General features: G+C 56.8%; 1 protein-coding gene across 1 annotated transcript in view, besides 8 other annotated features; it reads left to right on the top strand.

The window, feature by feature from the left end:
• EEIG1 (estrogen-induced osteoclastogenesis regulator 1) overlaps positions 1 to 18163 on the top strand; it is a 40408-nt gene that overhangs the window by 2939 nt on the left and 19306 nt on the right. The gene's annotated exons all lie outside the window — the stretch shown is intronic.
• Positions 568 to 657: an enhancer, noted in NCBI's record as "active region_29063". NCBI's record gives its function as "activates an Ori minimal core promoter by ATAC-STARR-seq in GM12878 lymphoblastoid cells {active_cell/tissue: GM12878}" and the evidence as "EXISTENCE:reporter gene assay evidence [ECO:0000049][PMID:35858748]".
• Positions 3088 to 3831: an enhancer, noted in NCBI's record as "H3K27ac-H3K4me1 hESC enhancer chr9:130736499-130737242 (GRCh37/hg19 assembly coordinates)". NCBI's record gives its function as "activates a minimal SCP1, AML or CMV promoter by ChIP-STARR-seq in primed H9 embryonic stem cells {active_cell/tissue: H9 hESC(primed)}" and the evidence as "EXISTENCE:reporter gene assay evidence [ECO:0000049][PMID:30033119]".
• Positions 3832 to 4574: an enhancer, noted in NCBI's record as "H3K27ac-H3K4me1 hESC enhancer chr9:130735756-130736498 (GRCh37/hg19 assembly coordinates)". NCBI's record gives its function as "activates a minimal SCP1, AML or CMV promoter by ChIP-STARR-seq in primed H9 embryonic stem cells {active_cell/tissue: H9 hESC(primed)}" and the evidence as "EXISTENCE:reporter gene assay evidence [ECO:0000049][PMID:30033119]".
• Positions 8863 to 9391: an enhancer, noted in NCBI's record as "H3K27ac-H3K4me1 hESC enhancer chr9:130730939-130731467 (GRCh37/hg19 assembly coordinates)". NCBI's record gives its function as "activates a minimal SCP1, AML or CMV promoter by ChIP-STARR-seq in primed H9 embryonic stem cells {active_cell/tissue: H9 hESC(primed)}" and the evidence as "EXISTENCE:reporter gene assay evidence [ECO:0000049][PMID:30033119]".
• Positions 12227 to 12521: an enhancer, noted in NCBI's record as "tiled region #6856; HepG2 Activating DNase unmatched - State 5:Enh, and K562 Activating DNase unmatched - State 5:Enh". NCBI's record gives its function as "activates a minimal TATA promoter and a strong SV40 promoter by Sharpr-MPRA in HepG2 and K562 cells {active_cell/tissue: HepG2 | K562}" and the evidence as "EXISTENCE:reporter gene assay evidence [ECO:0000049][PMID:27701403]".
• Positions 14910 to 15745: an enhancer, noted in NCBI's record as "H3K4me1 hESC enhancer chr9:130724585-130725420 (GRCh37/hg19 assembly coordinates)". NCBI's record gives its function as "activates a minimal SCP1, AML or CMV promoter by ChIP-STARR-seq in naive H9 embryonic stem cells {active_cell/tissue: H9 hESC(naive)}" and the evidence as "EXISTENCE:reporter gene assay evidence [ECO:0000049][PMID:30033119]".
• Positions 15746 to 16582: an enhancer, noted in NCBI's record as "H3K4me1 hESC enhancer chr9:130723748-130724584 (GRCh37/hg19 assembly coordinates)". NCBI's record gives its function as "activates a minimal SCP1, AML or CMV promoter by ChIP-STARR-seq in naive and primed H9 embryonic stem cells {active_cell/tissue: H9 hESC(naive and primed)}" and the evidence as "EXISTENCE:reporter gene assay evidence [ECO:0000049][PMID:30033119]".
• Positions 16627 to 17235: an enhancer, noted in NCBI's record as "H3K27ac-H3K4me1 hESC enhancer chr9:130723095-130723703 (GRCh37/hg19 assembly coordinates)". NCBI's record gives its function as "activates a minimal SCP1, AML or CMV promoter by ChIP-STARR-seq in primed H9 embryonic stem cells {active_cell/tissue: H9 hESC(primed)}" and the evidence as "EXISTENCE:reporter gene assay evidence [ECO:0000049][PMID:30033119]".

Below are 18163 nucleotides of genomic sequence, written 5' to 3'. Positions count from 1 at the left end.
CTGAGGCCACCCACACAGCAGTCTGAGGTTTCAGAGAGAAGGCTGTGCTCACAGCTAGGGCCTGGAGTTGGCTACTCACTGGCTGAGTGACATTGGGCAAGTTACCTAAGCTCTCTGATTGCAAGAACCAGCTACCATTGGTGCTGGGCTCCCTGTTTTACTAGCACCTCTCACTTAACCCCTGGACTGTGTCATGGAGCAGGAGTGGAGGTGGGGGCCCCATAGGATTATTATCCCCATGTTAGAGAGGTGGAAACAGGCTCTGAGAGGAAATGATTTGCCTGAGTTGATTCAGTGGAGCCTGCATTCAACCCTTTTGTGCCTCTGAACTTCAGTTTCCTTTTCTGTAAAATGGGGATGTCATACCCACCTCTAGAGTACAGATAATCTGTGTGTTATGTCTCGCCCAGGCACACTGCCGCAGCAGTTATCGCTTCTGTTGGTAGAGGGGCCCAGGCTGGGGCCCAGCCCTTTCCGGGTCTTTGGTGGGCGGTGGGGTGGGGACCAGATCCAGTCAGCAGGGGGCCTGTGTGTGAGCTGGGAGTGGGGACAGGGTCTTGGATCCCATTGAGGAATATAAATTTTGAGCCCCAGGCTGAGGACTTGCCTGGCCTCCAGGCCCTGGAGCCACTGTCTCCCTACCTGTTGGCCTTTCCATTGCCCAAACCTGCTTCCCCATTAGGGAAAGTGTGGGAAGTTCCAGGTCTTAGTCCACAGGGTCTGGATTTCACCTCTGTTTTCCCTTCTTCCTCCTGGCAAGGGGCCTTAAATTGCCTGAATCCAGCTAAGCCCAAAGCATTTCCCAGCCCTGTCCTGCATGCAACCTGAATGGGGCTGAGGAGGGAGGAACTGACACTGAGCTCTCGCAAAGCTGGGCAGTTAGTGGCCACCAGGCACCTGTTTGCTGTTGGGTAGGTGTGGCTGGAGACAGCAGACAGTGACATTGGAACCTGAGGCCAGTTTAGAGCTGCTTTGGTGTTTGCTGTGTTTTTGCCCAGTAGACGGGGGTTCCTGGGTTCCTGGGTTCCTACCCCCTCCACCCGTACCCCACCCACCCTGGACTGCAGCCTGGGAACCCCGCTTCACAGTCTGCCCCTCTAGACAGCAAAGGCCCCATTGTTTCCAGGTTGGAGTAGGGTCTGGGGGAACTGGACCTGGTTAGATCCTGGACCCAGATCAATAGCATATTTCCCCCACCCCCAGGAACCCCCGAGATGGCCCAGAGACCTGGTGGTGGCAGCATGGGTGGTGTCAGTGAAGCAGGCCCAAGGCCCCACCCCTACAGCACCTGCCGTCCTGGCTGGAGTATTTCCCTGTGTGCTGGGTGCCTTGGCAACAGCTGGGTACACCGCTCGCCTGACCCAATTTGAGCAGGTAGAGCAGGTGGTGCATCAGGCTGTTGCTCAGCCTCATCTTCCTGAGGCCTCCTTGAGAGCAGCGATCCTCACGCTGCTGTGCTCTGAGCTCCTGCACTCTGTGCCAGGCAGGGTGCTGACTGTTTTGCAACTGGTATTTCCATGAATCCTCTCAGCCATCCAGAGAGGCACCAAAGCCAGAGAGGTGAGTGCCAGAGGTCACCCAGGTGGTAAATGGCAATTCGGAAATTAACACTTTTATCGTTCTATAAAGCGCCCTTGATTGTACGCATTCTGTATGCTAGGGGCTTGCCTAGCCCCTCAAATAGATGATTATTTGAGGCCCTGCAGTCACCTACCCCATGGGCTGATGGCATTACCCCACTTACAGGTGAGGAAGCTGGGGTCAGGACAACTGAAGTGACTGGGTCTGTGCTACTCAGCTTGAAATTGCAGAGATGGGATTTGAATTTGGGCAGGTCCAGCTCTAAGGCCCTGTCTTGCCTTGATGGCAGTGGGCCGGAAGCAGCTGCAGACCCGTGTGACAGCCCCAGACCTTTGAGAAAGGCTCCATTCCATGGATTGGGTAGTTCAGGAAAGTCCAGAGCTGAGCAGTTAGGAGGCACCATGGTAGGTTTCGTGAGGTCCAAGGAAAAGTGTCCCCAGGACCTTTCAGGGGGTGGGGCTGAAGTCACTGCTGTGGATTTGGGGCCAGGCCTGGGCTGGCACTGGGGCATGGTGAGCATTTGTATTCTCCCAGGCATATGTATCCACATAGGGGGGCCTGGGAGGCTTTCCCAGGGGTCCCGGGAGGGAGGAAGAGGTCCTAGCCAAGTCTGGTGAGTCGGGGAGCTGCCATCCTGTCCAAGGCAGCCCTTGGGCAGGAAGAATCTCAAACACCCAAGAGATCTCTGCTTGCAGCTGGCACCAGTCCTGTGTCTGCCTCATGCACGTGGCTGGTGGTGCCAGGGGAGAGGAGTACAAGGGAGGCACTGACTTACCTCATAGCAAGTATTTTCTGGAGGAGATGGGCAGAGAGCATTTTCTCAGCCAACAGATGGGGAAACTGAGGCCTGCGGCAGAGAAGTGACTTGCTACGGCCACTTACAGGAGGAGCTGATGGCGTAGCTGAGTGGACTTGGGCCTGGCTCTGACCTCTGTCCCCTGTGTCTTAGTAACTCTCTGTATGAAGGAGGCAGGCTGGGCCAGAACGGGGAGGGGGTCCTTCTGGGGTCCTCTTGTGCTCTGTACTTGGGTGCCAGACTGTCCAAGAAACAGACAGCCTGTGACTTGGAGGCCCCTCTTCTGGCCTTTCTTCTTTGGTAGGCTTGAATCCTCAGTGGGCTTTTGATTTGGGCAGTCTTTGGTGGGCGCGTGGCCGCCCACCACAAAGATGCTGCCTGCCTTCCATGGCACGGCTGGGATGGTGGCCCCGGAGGCACAGGTGGGGTTCTTTTAGTATGAAGAAGGCCTTGGCCAGGTCAGTGCCGCGCTGGGGGCCCCACGCCAGGCCCAGTCCCTGGGGAGGCCAGCCTGGCCGGGTCTTTCCTCACACTCCACACACTTGTGGCCAGAGCCTCCACCCCCCTGGTCCCTCACCCGCCCTTCTAGGAAAAGGCTGTGGAATGCTGGTTGAATCCACCTCCGGGGGAGGCCTGCTCACAGGCACAGTGTGGAGCTCCAGGAGGGCAGGATGGAGATGGACACAGAATTCTGTCCCTTGGAGCTGAGTGGAGCAGGGGCCGTGGAGGTTCGATGGGATTCTTAGATTGGCAGGGCACCCACTTTCCTTCACAGAGCAGGAGCTCTGGAGGCTGAGCACACTGGAGAGGGAGAGGAGGCTGGTGGGCACGTGTGCCTGTTCCACTTTCCCTGAACACACGCTTTGTCTTGGGCTTCTGGAGGTGATCATGATTAGACAGCCCTGTTTCCATGGAGCTGCCAGCTAGGTGGGGGCAGTGAGCTTGGTGGGCATCGTGAAAGCTTCAGAGCAAGGCAGATCTAGGGCATATCCTTCTGCATCCCACTGGATCCCGGCAGGCAGCTGGGGAGGCATTTCCGTCCAGGTGTCTGTCCATTTATTTGACAGATGTGGATTGAGCACTTAACTCAGGCTGGGCATGGTCCTTGTCCTCATGTGGCACATCACTGAGTTAGGGAGAGCTTCCTGGAAGAAGTGACCCTTCCTGGGAGCCTTGAAGGCAGAGGGGAATTGGACAGGAAAGAGATCGGGATAAGCCTTTGGCATAGAAGCCCCTGGCCAACAGGCACTTGTTCCCAGGGTCAGGCGAGGAGCTGGGGTATGGGGAGGGTGGAGGAGGGGATGGAGTAAGTTAGGGTAATGGGTGGCCGAGCTGGTGTGTTCCTGGCCTCAGGAGTACCTACCCAGGGGCAGTGGAGCCACGTGGCCTGGTTGCCAGGTGGAGAAGGTTCAGGGGCCTGACCTGCACCCAGGGAAGGACAATGGGAGTTGGCTGGCAGGTACTGCTGGCCTGGCGGTAGCAGGCAGAGGAGCAGGCAGATTGGAGAGAGGGCTGGCAGGCAGAGTGGGCAAGTGGGCTTCCTCAACCGCAGGGCTGGCATCATGCCTAGTACTTAGTAAGTGCCGGGAGATGGATGGGGGCACAGTGGCCAAATGTAGCCAGGGTTTGTCGACCCCTGCAGTGCGCCAGTCATTTGTGATTGCATGAAAATCAGATTTCCCATTTGTTTTAAGTTGGAAGATCTGGCAGCAGTGCTGTGTGGCGGCGTTTGGCTCAAGGGGCTTTACAGCTGCCTCTTGACGTGGGCTGCCCACTTGAGTTCCCCTGACCCCGCAGCATGCCTTGGATGTCTGATGTGTGCTGCCTTAGGCCAGCCTGGTCCCCTGGGTGCCGTAGAAGGCCTTCCAGGTGCAGGTCGGGGGCACAAGGAGGCAGAGTGGCCTGTGGAGAGAAGCCCTGCTGGCAGAAGTGGGCAGGGCTGGGTGGCCTCAGAGGCCAGCCCGGGCAGCGAGGCTGTGGTACCAGGCCATCTGCTGGTTCCGCGAGGTCAGACTATACTGCTGGTGGCTGCGGGGAAGCCTGAAGCTGCCGTGACTGTGCCTGGCCTTGGTGTCTGCTCCTTGGACCTAGCCTTTGCTGCCAGCTGGCTGCACTGTTGGCAGGTGCCACCCTGGCAGCCCCTGCTGCCTACCTGCCAGCCTGGCAGCAGCCCTGACCCGAGATGATCTGGCTTCGTGGAGCCAGGCTATTTCCTGAGGCCTGTTCCTTGCTTCAAGCTCCGTCCTGGGAGCTGCTCTGGCCAGAGGCTCTTAGCAGCAACCACATTATGTGCCTGAGGGCCCTGCTTGTCCAGGGGTGGCAGGGGGGCCCTGAGTCCCTTTGAACCCTGCTTGTTCAGTACCTGGGAGTCCTGACTTGCATTTGGGAGGCCCTACTTGCACCTTGGGATGGCTGCTGGCATGTCTGCTAAGGGGTCAGGAGCCGACTGACTCTGTGTCTGGCATCTGGTGACTGCTATGCAGTGACCCTGCAGTCACTCGCTTGCTGCTGGGGACAGGCAGTAATATCTTAAGCACAACCAGTTTAGATGTATCCTCATCTTACCAGGGAGCCCCAGGAAGGTTTAAGCAGGGGAGAGACACCAGATTTGCTTAGAAAGAGACCCAGAACTAATGTAGGGTGGGGAGGGGGTGTTGCTCTGTATTATCCACCTCCCTGGCAAGTGCTTTGGATTATGGGGACTCCAGATATGCCCTGGGACCTGTCAGCCACCCACTATGAGGTCAGACTGCTGTCCGTGGCTCAGTAAGGCCCAAAGCTGCCAACCTATGGCTGGCTTCTGTGTCTGCATAGGGCTGTGGTGGCAAACCCTGGGTCTTTGCCCTGAGCCTCTTTTGGCACCCAGGGCTTGGAAGAGCTCTCACATGCAGGCCTGAAGCTGCCCGCACCCCCACCCTGCCCGGTCCTCTGTCCTGCCAGCCAGCTGATTTGGGTGGCTGGGAGGAAGAGCTCTGACAGAGGCCTTTCTGCCTGCTTGTTCTGCCTTGTTGCCTCCCTGCCTCCAGGCCTGCAGGAGACATTTCCATCCTGCTTCTGCTACTTGCTGCCTGTGTGACCTTGGGCAAGGGACTTGGCCTCCAAGCCTCAGTGACCGCCCCTGTGAAGCAGGGCTGCCGGTGCCTGCCTCCTGGTGCTCTCAGAGGACATGGTGAGATAATGTCTGTCAGACGCCCAGCGCGGCTCCTGGCATACAGTGCACACGCTGCATGTGCTTACAGTCTGTCCTCCTGTGTCCAGGCAGAGTTATGGCAGGGTCAGTGCCCCTGCATGGCCGCTGGCACTCCTGTGTGGGCCAGGACTGATGAGGTGCTGCTGGGAGAGGACACTTTGCACTCGGGGCAGGGTGGGGGTGAGTGAGGAGCACACCGGGTGTCTGAGCTCAGGGTCCCCAGTGGGGTCTGCGTGTTTTCTTGTCCCTTGTTGGCTTGAACTTGCCCCACAGGGAGATGCTTGGCTGTGAGCCAGGGTGAGTTGGAGCGTCCCTGCTTGGTGGACCCAGGCTGGGCTGAGGGGCTTTTGGTGAGGGAAGAGGCCCTCTGCACAGCCGGCTCTGGGACCTGCTCTGGCAGGCAGAAGACAGCCTCCACGGAGGCAGAGGGCACTGGCTGTCAGGCTGCTGGTGGGCTGGAGTGTGGGTGAGAGAGACAGCGGCCGCTCAGTACATGGGAGGCCCCGCCACTCCCGGCATCAGGCTGGCCTCGTCGGCTTCCACTGCTCCTCGCCCTTCTGGTTTCTGTGCCTTTGTTCCCTGTAGTTGCCTCTTCCTCAAGTTCCCTTCCCCCACTTCTCTGCTCGCTGAATTTCTTCTCAGCCTAAGAGTCACCTCCTCCAGGAAGCCTCCCTGGCCTCTTTTGGCCTTGTACACTCTGTGGGCCCTCATCTCAAGGCACTGCAGTCTCTGTCCACATCTCTAGCTCATTCCGCAGACTGTGGGCCCTTCGTGGGCAGGAGTAGTCCTTGCATCATTGCATCTTGGTCTTGGGGCTTCCTGCTGTGGGTTGGCACTGTCCTGGTGCCGGGGCTTTTCTCCCCTGGCTCTGAACCAGTGTGAGTGCTGGTGTGGGACCTCACTGTGGCTGCTGCCAGCTGCTGGACCCGCCCCCCCGCCCCGCATTCCCTCTTCAGGCCCGAGGTGTCAGTCTGTGTCAGGAGCAGCCCTCACTTGCATACGGGACAGCTGGGTGCCTCCACGGGCTCAGAGGCTGCAATTGAGAGGCAGCTGGGGGCATCAATGGTTTGGGTGGGGTGGGCTCCTCTGCATGGGGCAGGGATGCTCATAGCAAGCAGAATGGAAAGGAGGAGGGGGCTGGGGCCTGACTCCAAGCACGGCAATTGGACCTTGGCAGTTGCTTGATTTCCCTGTGACTGTGGCTAAAGGCCTTGTCCTCTCAGCCTCAGCTTCCTCCTCCATCAAACAGGGCTGCTCAGGAGGGCTCCCTACCCAGCACAGGGCCAGGCACCTGGCAACTAAAAACAGACTAACCCTGCCCAGAGAGGAGGTGGCCGGCTGGTGCTCAGGGAGGGCGGAAGTCTGGGTGCTAAACACTCTTACCTCTCACCACTTCCTCTCTGAGCAGACTCTGCAGGTGTGGGGCAGCATACCTGTGGCTCCCTGCTCCCCCTAGGCTCCCCCCAGACAAATTCTTGGGCTCCTTCTGGTGTGGGGCTCAGGCTGGGCCCTGGAGATGTGGCCCCCACCCCTGCAGGGCCCTCCAGTGAGGGGAGGTGCGCAAATCCAATCAGTGCTATGGCCACAGGCCCTAAGGAGGTGATGCTGGGCTCGGTTCTGGGGCATGAGTAGGATTAGCAGGTGGCGGGTGGGAGAAGAGCAGCCTGCGGCAGAGGCACGGCAAGGGCGAGCGTGCTGAGCGGGAAAGAGGGGCTGGCTGGCCTGGGAGGGAGCTTGAAGTCAGGAGGAGTCAAGGGGAGGGGTTTGGACTGTACCTGGAGGGGTGGGAGCCACAGAAGCTGTGAATCCGAGTCACATTTGTAGTTTAGAACCACCAAGGGCAGCCATGGGGTTGATTGCTTGGGACTGCAGGTTGCAGAAGGGCAGGTGACTGTCAGCTGAGAAGGGCAGGTTTCAACCTCTGTCATCAGGGAATTACTCAAAACAAAACCCGAGGCATACTGTGCAGTGCTGAGGATGAACAAGCTGCTGCCACTCACAGCAGGAAGCAGTCTGACAAACAACGTTGAGCAAAGAAAGCCGGAGACAAAAGAGTGTATGATGCGGCCAGGCGCAGTGGCTCACTCCTGTAATCCCAGCACTTTGGGAGGCCGAGGCAGGAGGATCATTTGAGGTCAAGAGTTCAAGACCAGCCTGACCAACAAGGTGAAACCCCGTCTCTACTAAAAATACAAAAAAATTAGCCGGGCATGGTGGCGCATGCCTGTAATCCCAGCTACTCAGGAGGCTGAGGAGGCAGGAGAATCACTTGAACTCGGGAGGCAGAGGCTGCAGCGTGCGGAGATCGCGCCACTGCACTCCAGCGTAGGCGACAGCGCAAGATTCTGTCTCAAAAAAAAAAAAGTGTATGATGCCATTTATACAGAGTTCAAAAACCTTTCTGATGCAAGTCAGGGCAGTGCTGTCTTTGCTGAGGGGAGTCATGTCTGGAAGGACCTTCTGGGGGCCTGTAATATTCTGCTGCTTGGGGGCTGGTTTCATGGGTATGTTCTCTCTGAGTATCTGTGAGTTCTGCACGTCTCTGTGCCAGAAACAAGACTCGAGATGCCCCACACTTTTGGGTGGTGCTGGGTGGATGCCTGAGTCCTCTAGACAAAAATGAGGCACCTTTTTGGGTGCCCGGAAGCCTGGAGGAGATCCCTGGGTGTTTTCCTTGGTCTTTCTGGTAAGGCAGCCTGAACCGTTCTGACCTGATAAGCATCAGTCTTGTTTATGAGGCAGTAACTCATCCTGGCAGCTGCAAACAGAGATGTAACTCTTCTCTGGCTGGAGATTTTCCTTCTGCCTCTTGCAAACTCCAGCAGGGCCTGCTGGGCTGTGGGGCTTGGCTGTTCATGGGGAGGGCAGGCTCCTGAGGCTGCCAGAGAACTAGATCTCCCCGAGCTTTGCTTTCCTCATCTGTGAAATGGGATAATGAGGTCCTCCTTGATGCTTGGGTGAAATGGGTTAATGCCTATTATGTGCCCATCGTAGTCTCTGGCATGGAGTACGGGCTCAGTAAAGGCTGGCAGCATTGGTATTCATCCAGGGCAGTTATTGTAAGGGCCCTAGGGGTGAGAGCAGAAAGGAAAGGTCCATATTCCTCCCTCTGTCCCTGTAATTGTTTCTCTTCTCTCTTCCTGTGGTTCACCTATCCAGCAAACATTTGTGATTAGAACCAGGCCATTGCCTTGGCCAAGACAACCGTCCCTGCCTGGGCCCAGAGCCAGGAGAGACTGTTAGGCACATTCGTCTCTCAGAGGAGTGCTGAGCACAGTGGGGTGGGGGAGAATTGCCACTCCGCCTGCTCTGCCCTGAACCCTGTCTTTGCCGACGGGCATTTGACTGTGCTCTCCCCAAATCCCAGGAGAAGGCCTGACCTTGGGGTGTAGCAGCCCCTAAGGGTTTTTTATGTTGGCCACACCCATCTTGGATACAGGCAAGACCAAGGCCAGGCTCTTGGGATGTGTCCCCCGTGTCTAGCACAGGCCTGACGTGTAGTAAGTGCTCAGTACATATGTGTGGAGTCCGTGAATGACAGAGGCAAAGATTGGTCCAGGATTGGTCTGTGAGTCTTCAGGGAATCACATGTCTGGGGAGGAGGTGGAGACCAGTGAGTCAGGGCCTCACACTCCAGCCTGATGCTTAGCCCATGGTGGTTGGAATCTTGGGGAACTGATGAAGACAGCTAGGAAAACAGGTCTGAGTCTGTGCAGGGCTGGGAGGAAAAGTGACTTTGGCGGAGCGATTCACAATTATCTCCTGGTCACCTCAGAAGTCCAGGGAACCTTAGGGCATACTGTATGGATCAGTAGGAACAGCTGGGTGGCAGAGCCAGCAATGGCAGTGACCCCTGGCCCCTTACACTCTGCAGAGAATATGGCCCTACCCTTCCATGAAGGTGGCACAAGAAGGCTTAGGGGAGCCCTTACGGGAGCAGGGGTATGAAGGGCGCTCATTTAGTCATTAGTTAGTTACTGACCTACCGTGTGCCCAGCACCATCCTTGCGACAGGGGAAGCAGCAGTGAGCAAAACAGAGGCCCTTCCTCCAGGACCTCCACACTCTGGGAGACAGGAACCTAAGACCCAGGCCTAGAAGAGGAAACTTGCAGTGTGTAGGGGGTGCCCTTGGGATGGGCTGGGATGGAGGGTAAGGATAGAGAGGACAGAGGCAGCCCCATGACTTGAGTCTAGTCATTCGAGGGGCCAGGCCCTGGGGATGGGAATCCGTTCCTCCTCTCTCTCCCCTTCCTCCTTGGGTGAATCAACCACCACCCAGGCATGAGTCAGCCAGGAGTGGCTCAGGCATGCCTAGGCCACCTGCTGGTCCCCCTCCCTGGATGTCCCAACCAGGGTGTCCCAGCCAGGTTTAAGATCTAAGGAAGCCAGGCGTGGTGGCTCACACCTGTAATCCCAGCTACTTAGGAGGCTGAGGCAGGAGGATCATTTGAGCCCAGGAAACATAGTGAGACCCCTTACCTCAAAAAAAAAAAAAAAAAAAAAAAGACCTGGGGAAATATCCTGATCTATGGTCCTGGGGTGGAGAAGAAGGTAGGGGACTGTGTGACCAGCTTTTCCTGCTGGACCATCTGCCTCAGAGGGGAACTCCAGGTGCCTGTCAGTAGTTACTTCTGGAGGTCTAGTCCCTGCCCCCATTCAGCATGGGTGTCCACTGTGCCAGGTCCTGTAGCAACTCTGTGAGACAGGGACAGAACTGCGACTGAGGCCCAGAAAAGTCAAGTGTCCGGTGGGTACCAGAGCCTGGCTTTGAGCCCCAGTCTCTGCTTCCCAATGCCTTGTGGGCAGGCCTGCTGGGAGACTGGTGGGTGCAGGAAGGGAAGTCCCCCGAGCAGAGCCAGCCCCGAAGCTCTGTGTTTGCTGTGGGCATGGATCCTGGGGAGGGGAAGCTGCTACCACAGCCCAGTGTGACACCCATTGTGTCTTCTTGCTTTGAACTGCTGGGGTCTTGGGTCCAACCCTGGCATGGGAGCCCAGCTTGCAGCTCTGGGGTCAGACAGCCCTGGCTTTAGGTCACAGCCCTCTCCCGGCCAGTAGACCTTGGGCAGGTGACTTCCCTGCTCTGGGGCCTCAATTTCCTTGGCTGCGATGGGGTAATGGGCTGACAGCACCCATCTCCTAGGGCTGGGTGTGGATTCTTGGGGTCAGGGAGAGTGCTTGGCTCGGTGCCTGACATGCAGCAAGTGTTCAGGAGATGGAGCGCTCATCTTTGGAAGTTCTGCAGAGCTTGCCTGCTGGGGGGCCTTTTCCCACTTCTCCCTCCTAACTTGGGACTTCCTAACATGGTCCCCAACACCAGCAGGTCTTGACGGATTTGGCTCAGAGCCACACCCCATTGGCCCCACACTTTGACCCAGTGACCATCCCTCCCTTGGCATAAACCTGGTCTCAAAGCCTCTTCCCTGGGATTGAGACTCAAGGTGAAGGGTCAGCCCACACAGCATGGGGTCCAGGGTCGCTAGCGTGACAGATGCCCATGCCACAATCTCTGGAGAATGGCTGTACTGCCTTGGCAGATTTCCCAGGGGTTCTGCAAGATCAGGAAGTGGGGGTGGGTTCCTGAAGGGGGGCCTGGGAGTACAGACCACCCGTTACCTCCCATGTGACCTGCAGCGACTGCCTGGACTCCCCAAGTGTCTGTTTCCTGATCTGTGAAGTAGAAGCAGGAAGATGATGCTTGAGAATTACTTGGCACACAGGAGGGTGCCTGGGAAACAGCCAGGCTGGGCCATGCTGGGTGCCAGGGGCATCTTTGCCCAGGTGCATGAGATTCTTGGTTAAAGCCAGTAGTTTACTTTGGGTCCCTTCAATGGCCTGCTCGCCTCTTGGGCTGTAAGAGCAAGAGAGAGTGATCATTTGCATCTGGAGAATGGCGTTAACAGGGCGTTTGCCTGGGCAGTAGCTCAAGGCATCTGCACAACCTGACTCTGGGTACAGAGGACAGAGCAGGGCAGCCACTTGCCTGTGCTTGTAAAATAGGGATGCCCACACCTGCCTGCATGGGCTTTTTTTTTTTTTTTTCGGAGATGGGGTTTTGCTATGTTGCCCAGGCTGGTCTTGAACTCCCGGGCTCAAGCAGTCCTCCAGTCCCAGTCTCTTGAGTAGCTGAGATTACAGGTACGCACCACCATGCCCAGCTTGTGTGGGGTTTCCCTTGAAGATCAGTCTCAAGGTTGCTGCTTGACCGGTGAGCAGCAGGATTCAGACCTAGATGTGTCTGACTCTGGGATCCTTTCACCTAACCCTGACGCTTTCCCAGCAAGCCTGGATGACCTGGCTTCCCTCCACCCTGTGCCCATGCCCTGCCCCTTTTCCATCTTGGAGTTTCTGAAGCCCCAGTGGGCTGTCCACTCTGTGCTTCTTTGGGTCACTTATGATGCCAGCCTCCCTCCCGGCCCACCCGCCAATCCCAGGCCACTGCTAATAGGGGTGTCTTTGGCAGGGGAACAAAGAGCGTTTTGGGGCTGCCAGGTGGCTGCTCTGAGTGCTCCAGTGTTGGCCAGAGTGGCTTGGCTTCCAGAAACTTCTTGCTGCCTCCTTGCAGGAGGAGGTCCTGGCCATGCTAGGACTGTGAGCTGCTCCCCCTGAACCCCTGGCAGGAGCCAGACGCTGCTGTGCTGCCACGCTGGCTCTTCAGCCCCTGGACGGACGCCTTGGCTGGTCCCCAGGGCAGGCTCCTCCCAGGCGGCTGTATTCTCTTCTCTTCGGGGAAGCACAAGGCAGATGTTGTCGATTTAAATTGTTTCCTTATTAGACTCTCGCTCTCTGGCCTGGGCTGGGTTTCATCAGCCGGGAACTCTGATTGCATCACTTTGCCGCTCACTCCTCCAGGAACCAGGCCAAGGGCTGGGAGAGCAGGCAGGGTGGGAGTGAGCGTGGCTGAGGGAGGGGCAGACGGATGGCAGGCAAGGGACTTAAGTGATGGACTTAAGTGATGGGGCCCTGTTCTGGGGGACCAGCACTGTCAGGAACCCAGGAGCACAGCTGGAACCTGGAGTTCCACACGCCTGTCAGAGCGCTACTGTCTCTTAGCTGGGTGCCCAGCTCCCTGCATCAGAATCACCTGGGAGCTCGTTTAAAATGCCCTTTTAAGACCTGCAGCAGTGGCTCTCAACCAGGGTTGATTTGGCGATCTCTGGAGACATTTTCGGTTGTCACACCTGGGGCTGTGCTACTGGCAGGGTGCTGCTGAACATCCCACAGTGCGCAGGACAGCCCCTCACAAAAAGAAACCCTGTCCTGCGGAGTCTGTGGTTCTGGAAGGGCTCACTGGGAATCTTCGTTTGTCATGAGCCAGTGGAATGTTTTTTGGTTTTTGGTTTTTTTTTTTTTTTTTTTTTTTTTTTTTTTTTTTTTTTGAGACAGTCTTGCTCTGTCACCCAGGCTGGAGTGCGATGGCGCGATCTTGGCTCACTGCAACCTCCGCCTCCCGGGTTCAAGAGATTCTCCTGCCTCAGCCTCACAAGTAGCTGGGATTACAGGTGCCCGCCACCACATCTGGCTAATTTTTGTATTTTTAGTAGAGGTGGGGTTTCATGTTTCACCGTGTTGTCCAGGCTGGTCCCGAACTCCTGACCTCAGGTGATCCACCCGCCTCAGCCTCCCAAAGTGCTGGGATTACAGGTGTGAGCCACCGCGCCTGGCTGCCAGGGATATTTTTATCTGAGAACCCCTGTCCTGCTGGACCTCACCCCTCTCTTTGCTTGTGAGTTTGAGCACCTGCCCCCGCAGGGCTTCGTGCTGGGCACCCAGTGGAGGTGAGATGTGTGTCTCTGAGTACTGGAACTGGGAAGGCGAAGTGTTGAGAGTGGACGTGGGTCAGGCTGGAGCCCTGTCACAGAGGTTGGACTGCCCCAGTGATACCCGGATTCCTTTTTCCTGACTTTCTGCTCCTGTGAGGGTTGCCAGCCAGGCATGCACTTTTGCTCCAACTCTGAGGAGAGCCCCTGATGGGCCCATTTGACCCCTGTCTGTAGGAATCCTGTGAGCCTGGCAGCCTGAGGCCAGGAGGTGGCTCCCACAGCCCTACGGCACCTGGCCCCACGTCACCCTGGTGATGGAGACCTGGGGTTGTCAAGGCTCTGGGATCTTCTTGTTGCACCTACTGGGCAGTAATGCTGGATCAGGCTGGGGCCAGGTGCTGGGGATGTGGCAGCGAACTGACCTCGGGACCACAGAGGCAGAATTCTCTGCATCCTCCCTCTGTTGAGCAGTGGAGAGAGGTGCTGTGGGACCACAGAGTCACCCCAACAGCCCCATGTGATGGGTAAGTCGTCCTTTTACAGATGAGGAAGTTGAGGCTCACCAAGATGGGGCTCCCCGAGTCACTTGGTGGCCTCTCCTCGTCACCAGCCTCATCCACCCCCCGGCTTTCCAGGGAGGCTCTTCCTGGGAGCCACCTCCCTCCTTCTGGGTCTTCCCTGTGCTGTTCCCACTGCCTGGGACCTCCTTCCCCCCAGGTCTTCACCCAGCTGACTGCCTGAGGTCCCGGCTCTGATGTCACTATCCAGGGAGGCTTCTCGGCCTCCTGCCCCCAGCCTGCTCTGTTCACCGCCCTTGTAGCTCCTTCTCCTTCCTGGGAGACTGGCGGTGACTGCAGTCATTCCTGTGTAATGGCCGTCTCCCCCTCTCAACCAGGGACTCCTCCAGGAGGTTGCTCGCATTGTGTCCCGCACCCCGAGCCGGCACCACAGTCAGTCCTCGTGGATGCATTGTGGAGGTCCCGGTCCGATTTGGGATACAGGTCTGTGTGTCTCCCCACACCACCTGGCGTGCTTCCTGGGATGGGTCAGAGGGTGGTCAGGTCACTGGGCAGCCTTCCCAGGGCTGGGAGAGCTCCTGGAGAGTTCTGCTGGGCCAAGGACACCAGCCTGGTGGGGTGTTCTGCTGTTTCCAGACAGCCCAGAAATAGCCAAATTCCACTGCTGGGATGGCCACAGTGGCTGTGGTGGGTGCAGGGCTTGTCCCGCCTTGCTGAGATTTACATGTCTAATTGTATATCTTAAAGCTAAAAATGAAACCCAGTCTCTGTAATTACCTGTTCCTGGCAGCGGGGAGCGGGGGAAGCACGCCCTGCAACCCCAGGCCCGGGAGGGCCGTTCATCACTGTCTCTTCCCAGGCGGGCGGCCAGCCCTGCCAGCAGGTCCCATGTACTGCATGGGGTGACTCCACTTGGTAACTTGGGAGGACCCAGGCCTTGAACCAGGTGGCTGAGGGTTCAGATCCCTTTTGCTTATAAGCAGCCTTCCTAACCCATACCCTTTTCTCATTTTCAATTTAAATTTCAATTATGGAAACAACTCTTGGACAGAAACGAAGAAAGAGTCTCTGATAACCCTTCCACCCCACCTTTGGTCAGACCTGCTCTGAGCTCCCTGCCTGCCTTCTGGCCATTATCCCTTCATACCAGTGTGAATAAGCTGCTTGGCCAGGGAGCCTGAAGTCCAGGATTCTGGGTTAAAACAATCTCCTTCTCCGGACCTTGCTTCTATCATTTTAAAATTTCAGTTCTGTAGCCCAGACCTGGGCCACATTAGGGTAAGTAGGTGGTGGTGGGCAGTAAGGAGGGTCCGTGGTCCTATTTCTTTTTTCTTTTTTAATCAAGGTGGGGTCTTGTTATGTTGCCCAGGCTGGTCTCCAACCCCTGTCCTCAAGTGAGTCTCCTGTCTTAGCCTCCCAGAGTGCTGGGATTACAGGCATGAGTCACCATGCCTGGCCTGTTTTCTTAATAAACATCTTATTTATAATTTTTCTTCATAGGTGCTCATTTTAGTTTTTTTACACTTTCCTCTTTCTGAGACAGGCAGCTGGTTGTGCCTCTGGTCACTGGAGACATGTGTTGGGTACTGGCATGCACAGCACCCAGCAGCCCAGGCCTGCCCTCTTAGCACTCACAGGCCATGGAGGTCACAGCCGGCCCTGGTGGCACTCAGCTCTGAGGACCCTGGGCCCTCCCTCCAGGGTCTCATAGTGCTGGGGTGGGGTCGTTCTGCAGAGTTGCATTTCCACCCTGGGCCACAATGCAGTCCCCAGGACTGCCGGGGATTGGGTTTCCTTTGGTCAGGTGTGCTTTAAGAAATGCTCACAATGGATACTTTCTGTTCAAGACAAAGGAAAAAAGGGGCACCATGCCCATCTTCATCCTTTCTTTTCTTCCCTACTCACCCCAATCTCCAGACACTCCAGTGGCCAGAGGTGGCCTTCATTTGCAATTTGATGTGGGCATCTCCTGTTTTCTGTGTGCTTGTGGGCATTTACATATGTCACTTTAAAAAATTAAATAAAAATGGGGTCATGTAGATCCCCTTCTGCATGTTCCCTTCCTGCAGGTCTGATGGGGCCATCCCACCCTGCTGGGGAGCACAGCTTGCCCTCCCTCCCCTCCTTCTCTTCTGGCGTTGCCTGCTGGGTGCCATCGGAGCAGTCCTCATTACTTCCCACTTTTGCCCAACTTCTGCTGCTGTGACCAGTCGCATACACGTGGACACCGTGGGGACTGCCCCTCCATACAGCTCCTCTGTAAGCTTAGGACCAAGGCTGCCTCTCCAGTCTCCCTGGCCCATGCCTGCCCCGGCATCCTCCGCCCCAGCTACACTGGCCCCCAGCTCCTCCTCAAACGCGACAGACATTCCCACCCCGGGGCCTTTGCACTTGCTGTTCCTCGTGCCCGGATTGCTCTTCCCCCAGATATCTGTGGCCACTCGCTTCAGTCTTTGCTTAGATGTCACCTTCCCATGAAGACCTTCTCTGGCCCTCATTCTCTGGTGCCCCCATTGTTGGGGCACTGTCTGCCTCCTTCCTTGGTTCCTTTTTCTCTGTTGCACCCCAGGCTAGCTGGTATGCATTTGCCTGGTTTTGTCTGTCTTCCACCCACTGCCAGAGTATAAGCCCCTTGAAGGCAGGGATTTCTGTCTTCTCTGTTTATTGCTTGTGTTCCCAGAGCCTTCAGCAGTGCCTGGCACCTGGTGGGGGCTTCATAAAAGGTTTCTGAATGGATCAAGGCTCTGAGATGTCCTCAGTCCTGACCTGGCCAGCTCCCAACCTGGGGCTCATGGCTGCCTGCCTGGCATCCTCATTCCCACCTCCCATCACAAGCATCCCTTACCCCACCCTGCCTGAGCCTGTGTTCATCTCCCACCATGATCCCTGCCCCATGCATGGGATCATGCCCCATGCATGCCACCTGCCTGGGGGTGCCCAGCTGCTTCCCACCAGAGGGGCCCCGGGGCTGAGGGGGAGGCAGTGTGGGCCCTGAGGCAGCTGCATAGCTGTGTCCCAGCTGTGACACAGGGTCTGGACGCAGATGGGGCTGGGGTCGAGACTAGCTCTGCTGTGACTTCAGATGAGTTACGCAGCATTTCTGAGCCTCACTTTCCCCATCTGTAAAGTGGGCTGTGGTAGCAGTCACCTTTCAGTGTTGAAGAGTTCTGGGCCGCACACAGTAGGCCCTCAGGAGGTGGCCGCTGCTGCTGTGGTTTTTTTTTTACCCTTGCTGTGACCTCTGGCCGTGGGCCAGGGCGAGGCTGCTTGCCTCTTCCCGTGGGAGTGGTGGCTTCCAATAGGTGATTGTTCAGAGCCCTGTAGAAACAGGAGGGAGGCCCAGTGCTGACCCTGTGAGCTCTTCCTGTGGAGGGGGGAATGTGCCTGTTACCTGAGCTAGGAGGGTTCCAGGTGGCTTTTTCTGGCTTGGCCCTGGAACTGCAAATGGGCCTTAGGCTTCCTGGCTGGCGTTCCCACAGCAAACTCTCAAAAGGAAAGGGAGAAAGCCCACAATTCACTGTGAGCTTTTGTTCCCAGACACTAATCCCAATTCCACTGGGTGTTTCAACATGCCCAGAGCACCGAGCTGCCTCCCCAGGCCTCCAGCAGCTGCTTCCAACCCTAGGTGAAGTGTGGGGAGCCATGGCCACTCCCCAGCCTTCCCCCTTTCAAGCTTGGGCCTCCTCTGGCTGCCTGGGAAGTGTCTCTGCTCTCTTTGCCCTTCCATTCTCCTCCTCTGTGGCTGTTCTCAGCCTCTGCCTAAGCCACAGTCCACGGGGGCAAGACAGAGCCGCTGTCAGAATCAGATGCAGTCTTCTCACACCCTTGAGGTCTAGCAGGACCTGCCCCTGCTCCTTCACCCATCTCATCCCCTCTGATCTCCCCCCAGCTCCTCTTCAGCCACTGTCCTCTGCACTAGTTTTCTACCTGCCAAGTGTGTTTCTGCCTCAGGGCCTCTGCACTTGCTGCTCCCTCACCTGGAGGGCTCTTCCCCTGTCTTTGCTCAGTCCCCACTTCAGTCCAAGCCGTGCTCAGATGTCACTGCCCTAAGGGCCATCCCTAACCCCCCACCTGAAGCAGCCACACCTCATCGCTACCTGCACTCCCCACACACCTTCCCTGTGGTGTTCTCCATTTTTCTATTTATCTGACCTACCATGTATTTAACAGCTTTATTGAGATATAATTCACATACCACACAATACACCCATTTAAAGTGTACAGTTAAGTGGTTTTTAGTATATTCACAGTTGCACAACCATCATCACAACAAATTTTAGAACATTTTCATCACCCCAGAAAGAAATCCCAAACCCA

This window comes from Homo sapiens, chromosome 9 (genome assembly GCF_000001405.40).
Source record: "Homo sapiens chromosome 9, GRCh38.p14 Primary Assembly".
In the NCBI taxonomy this organism is placed as follows: domain Eukaryota; kingdom Metazoa; phylum Chordata; class Mammalia; order Primates; family Hominidae; genus Homo; species Homo sapiens.
This window is presented reverse-complemented; position numbering and strand designations above follow the sequence as displayed.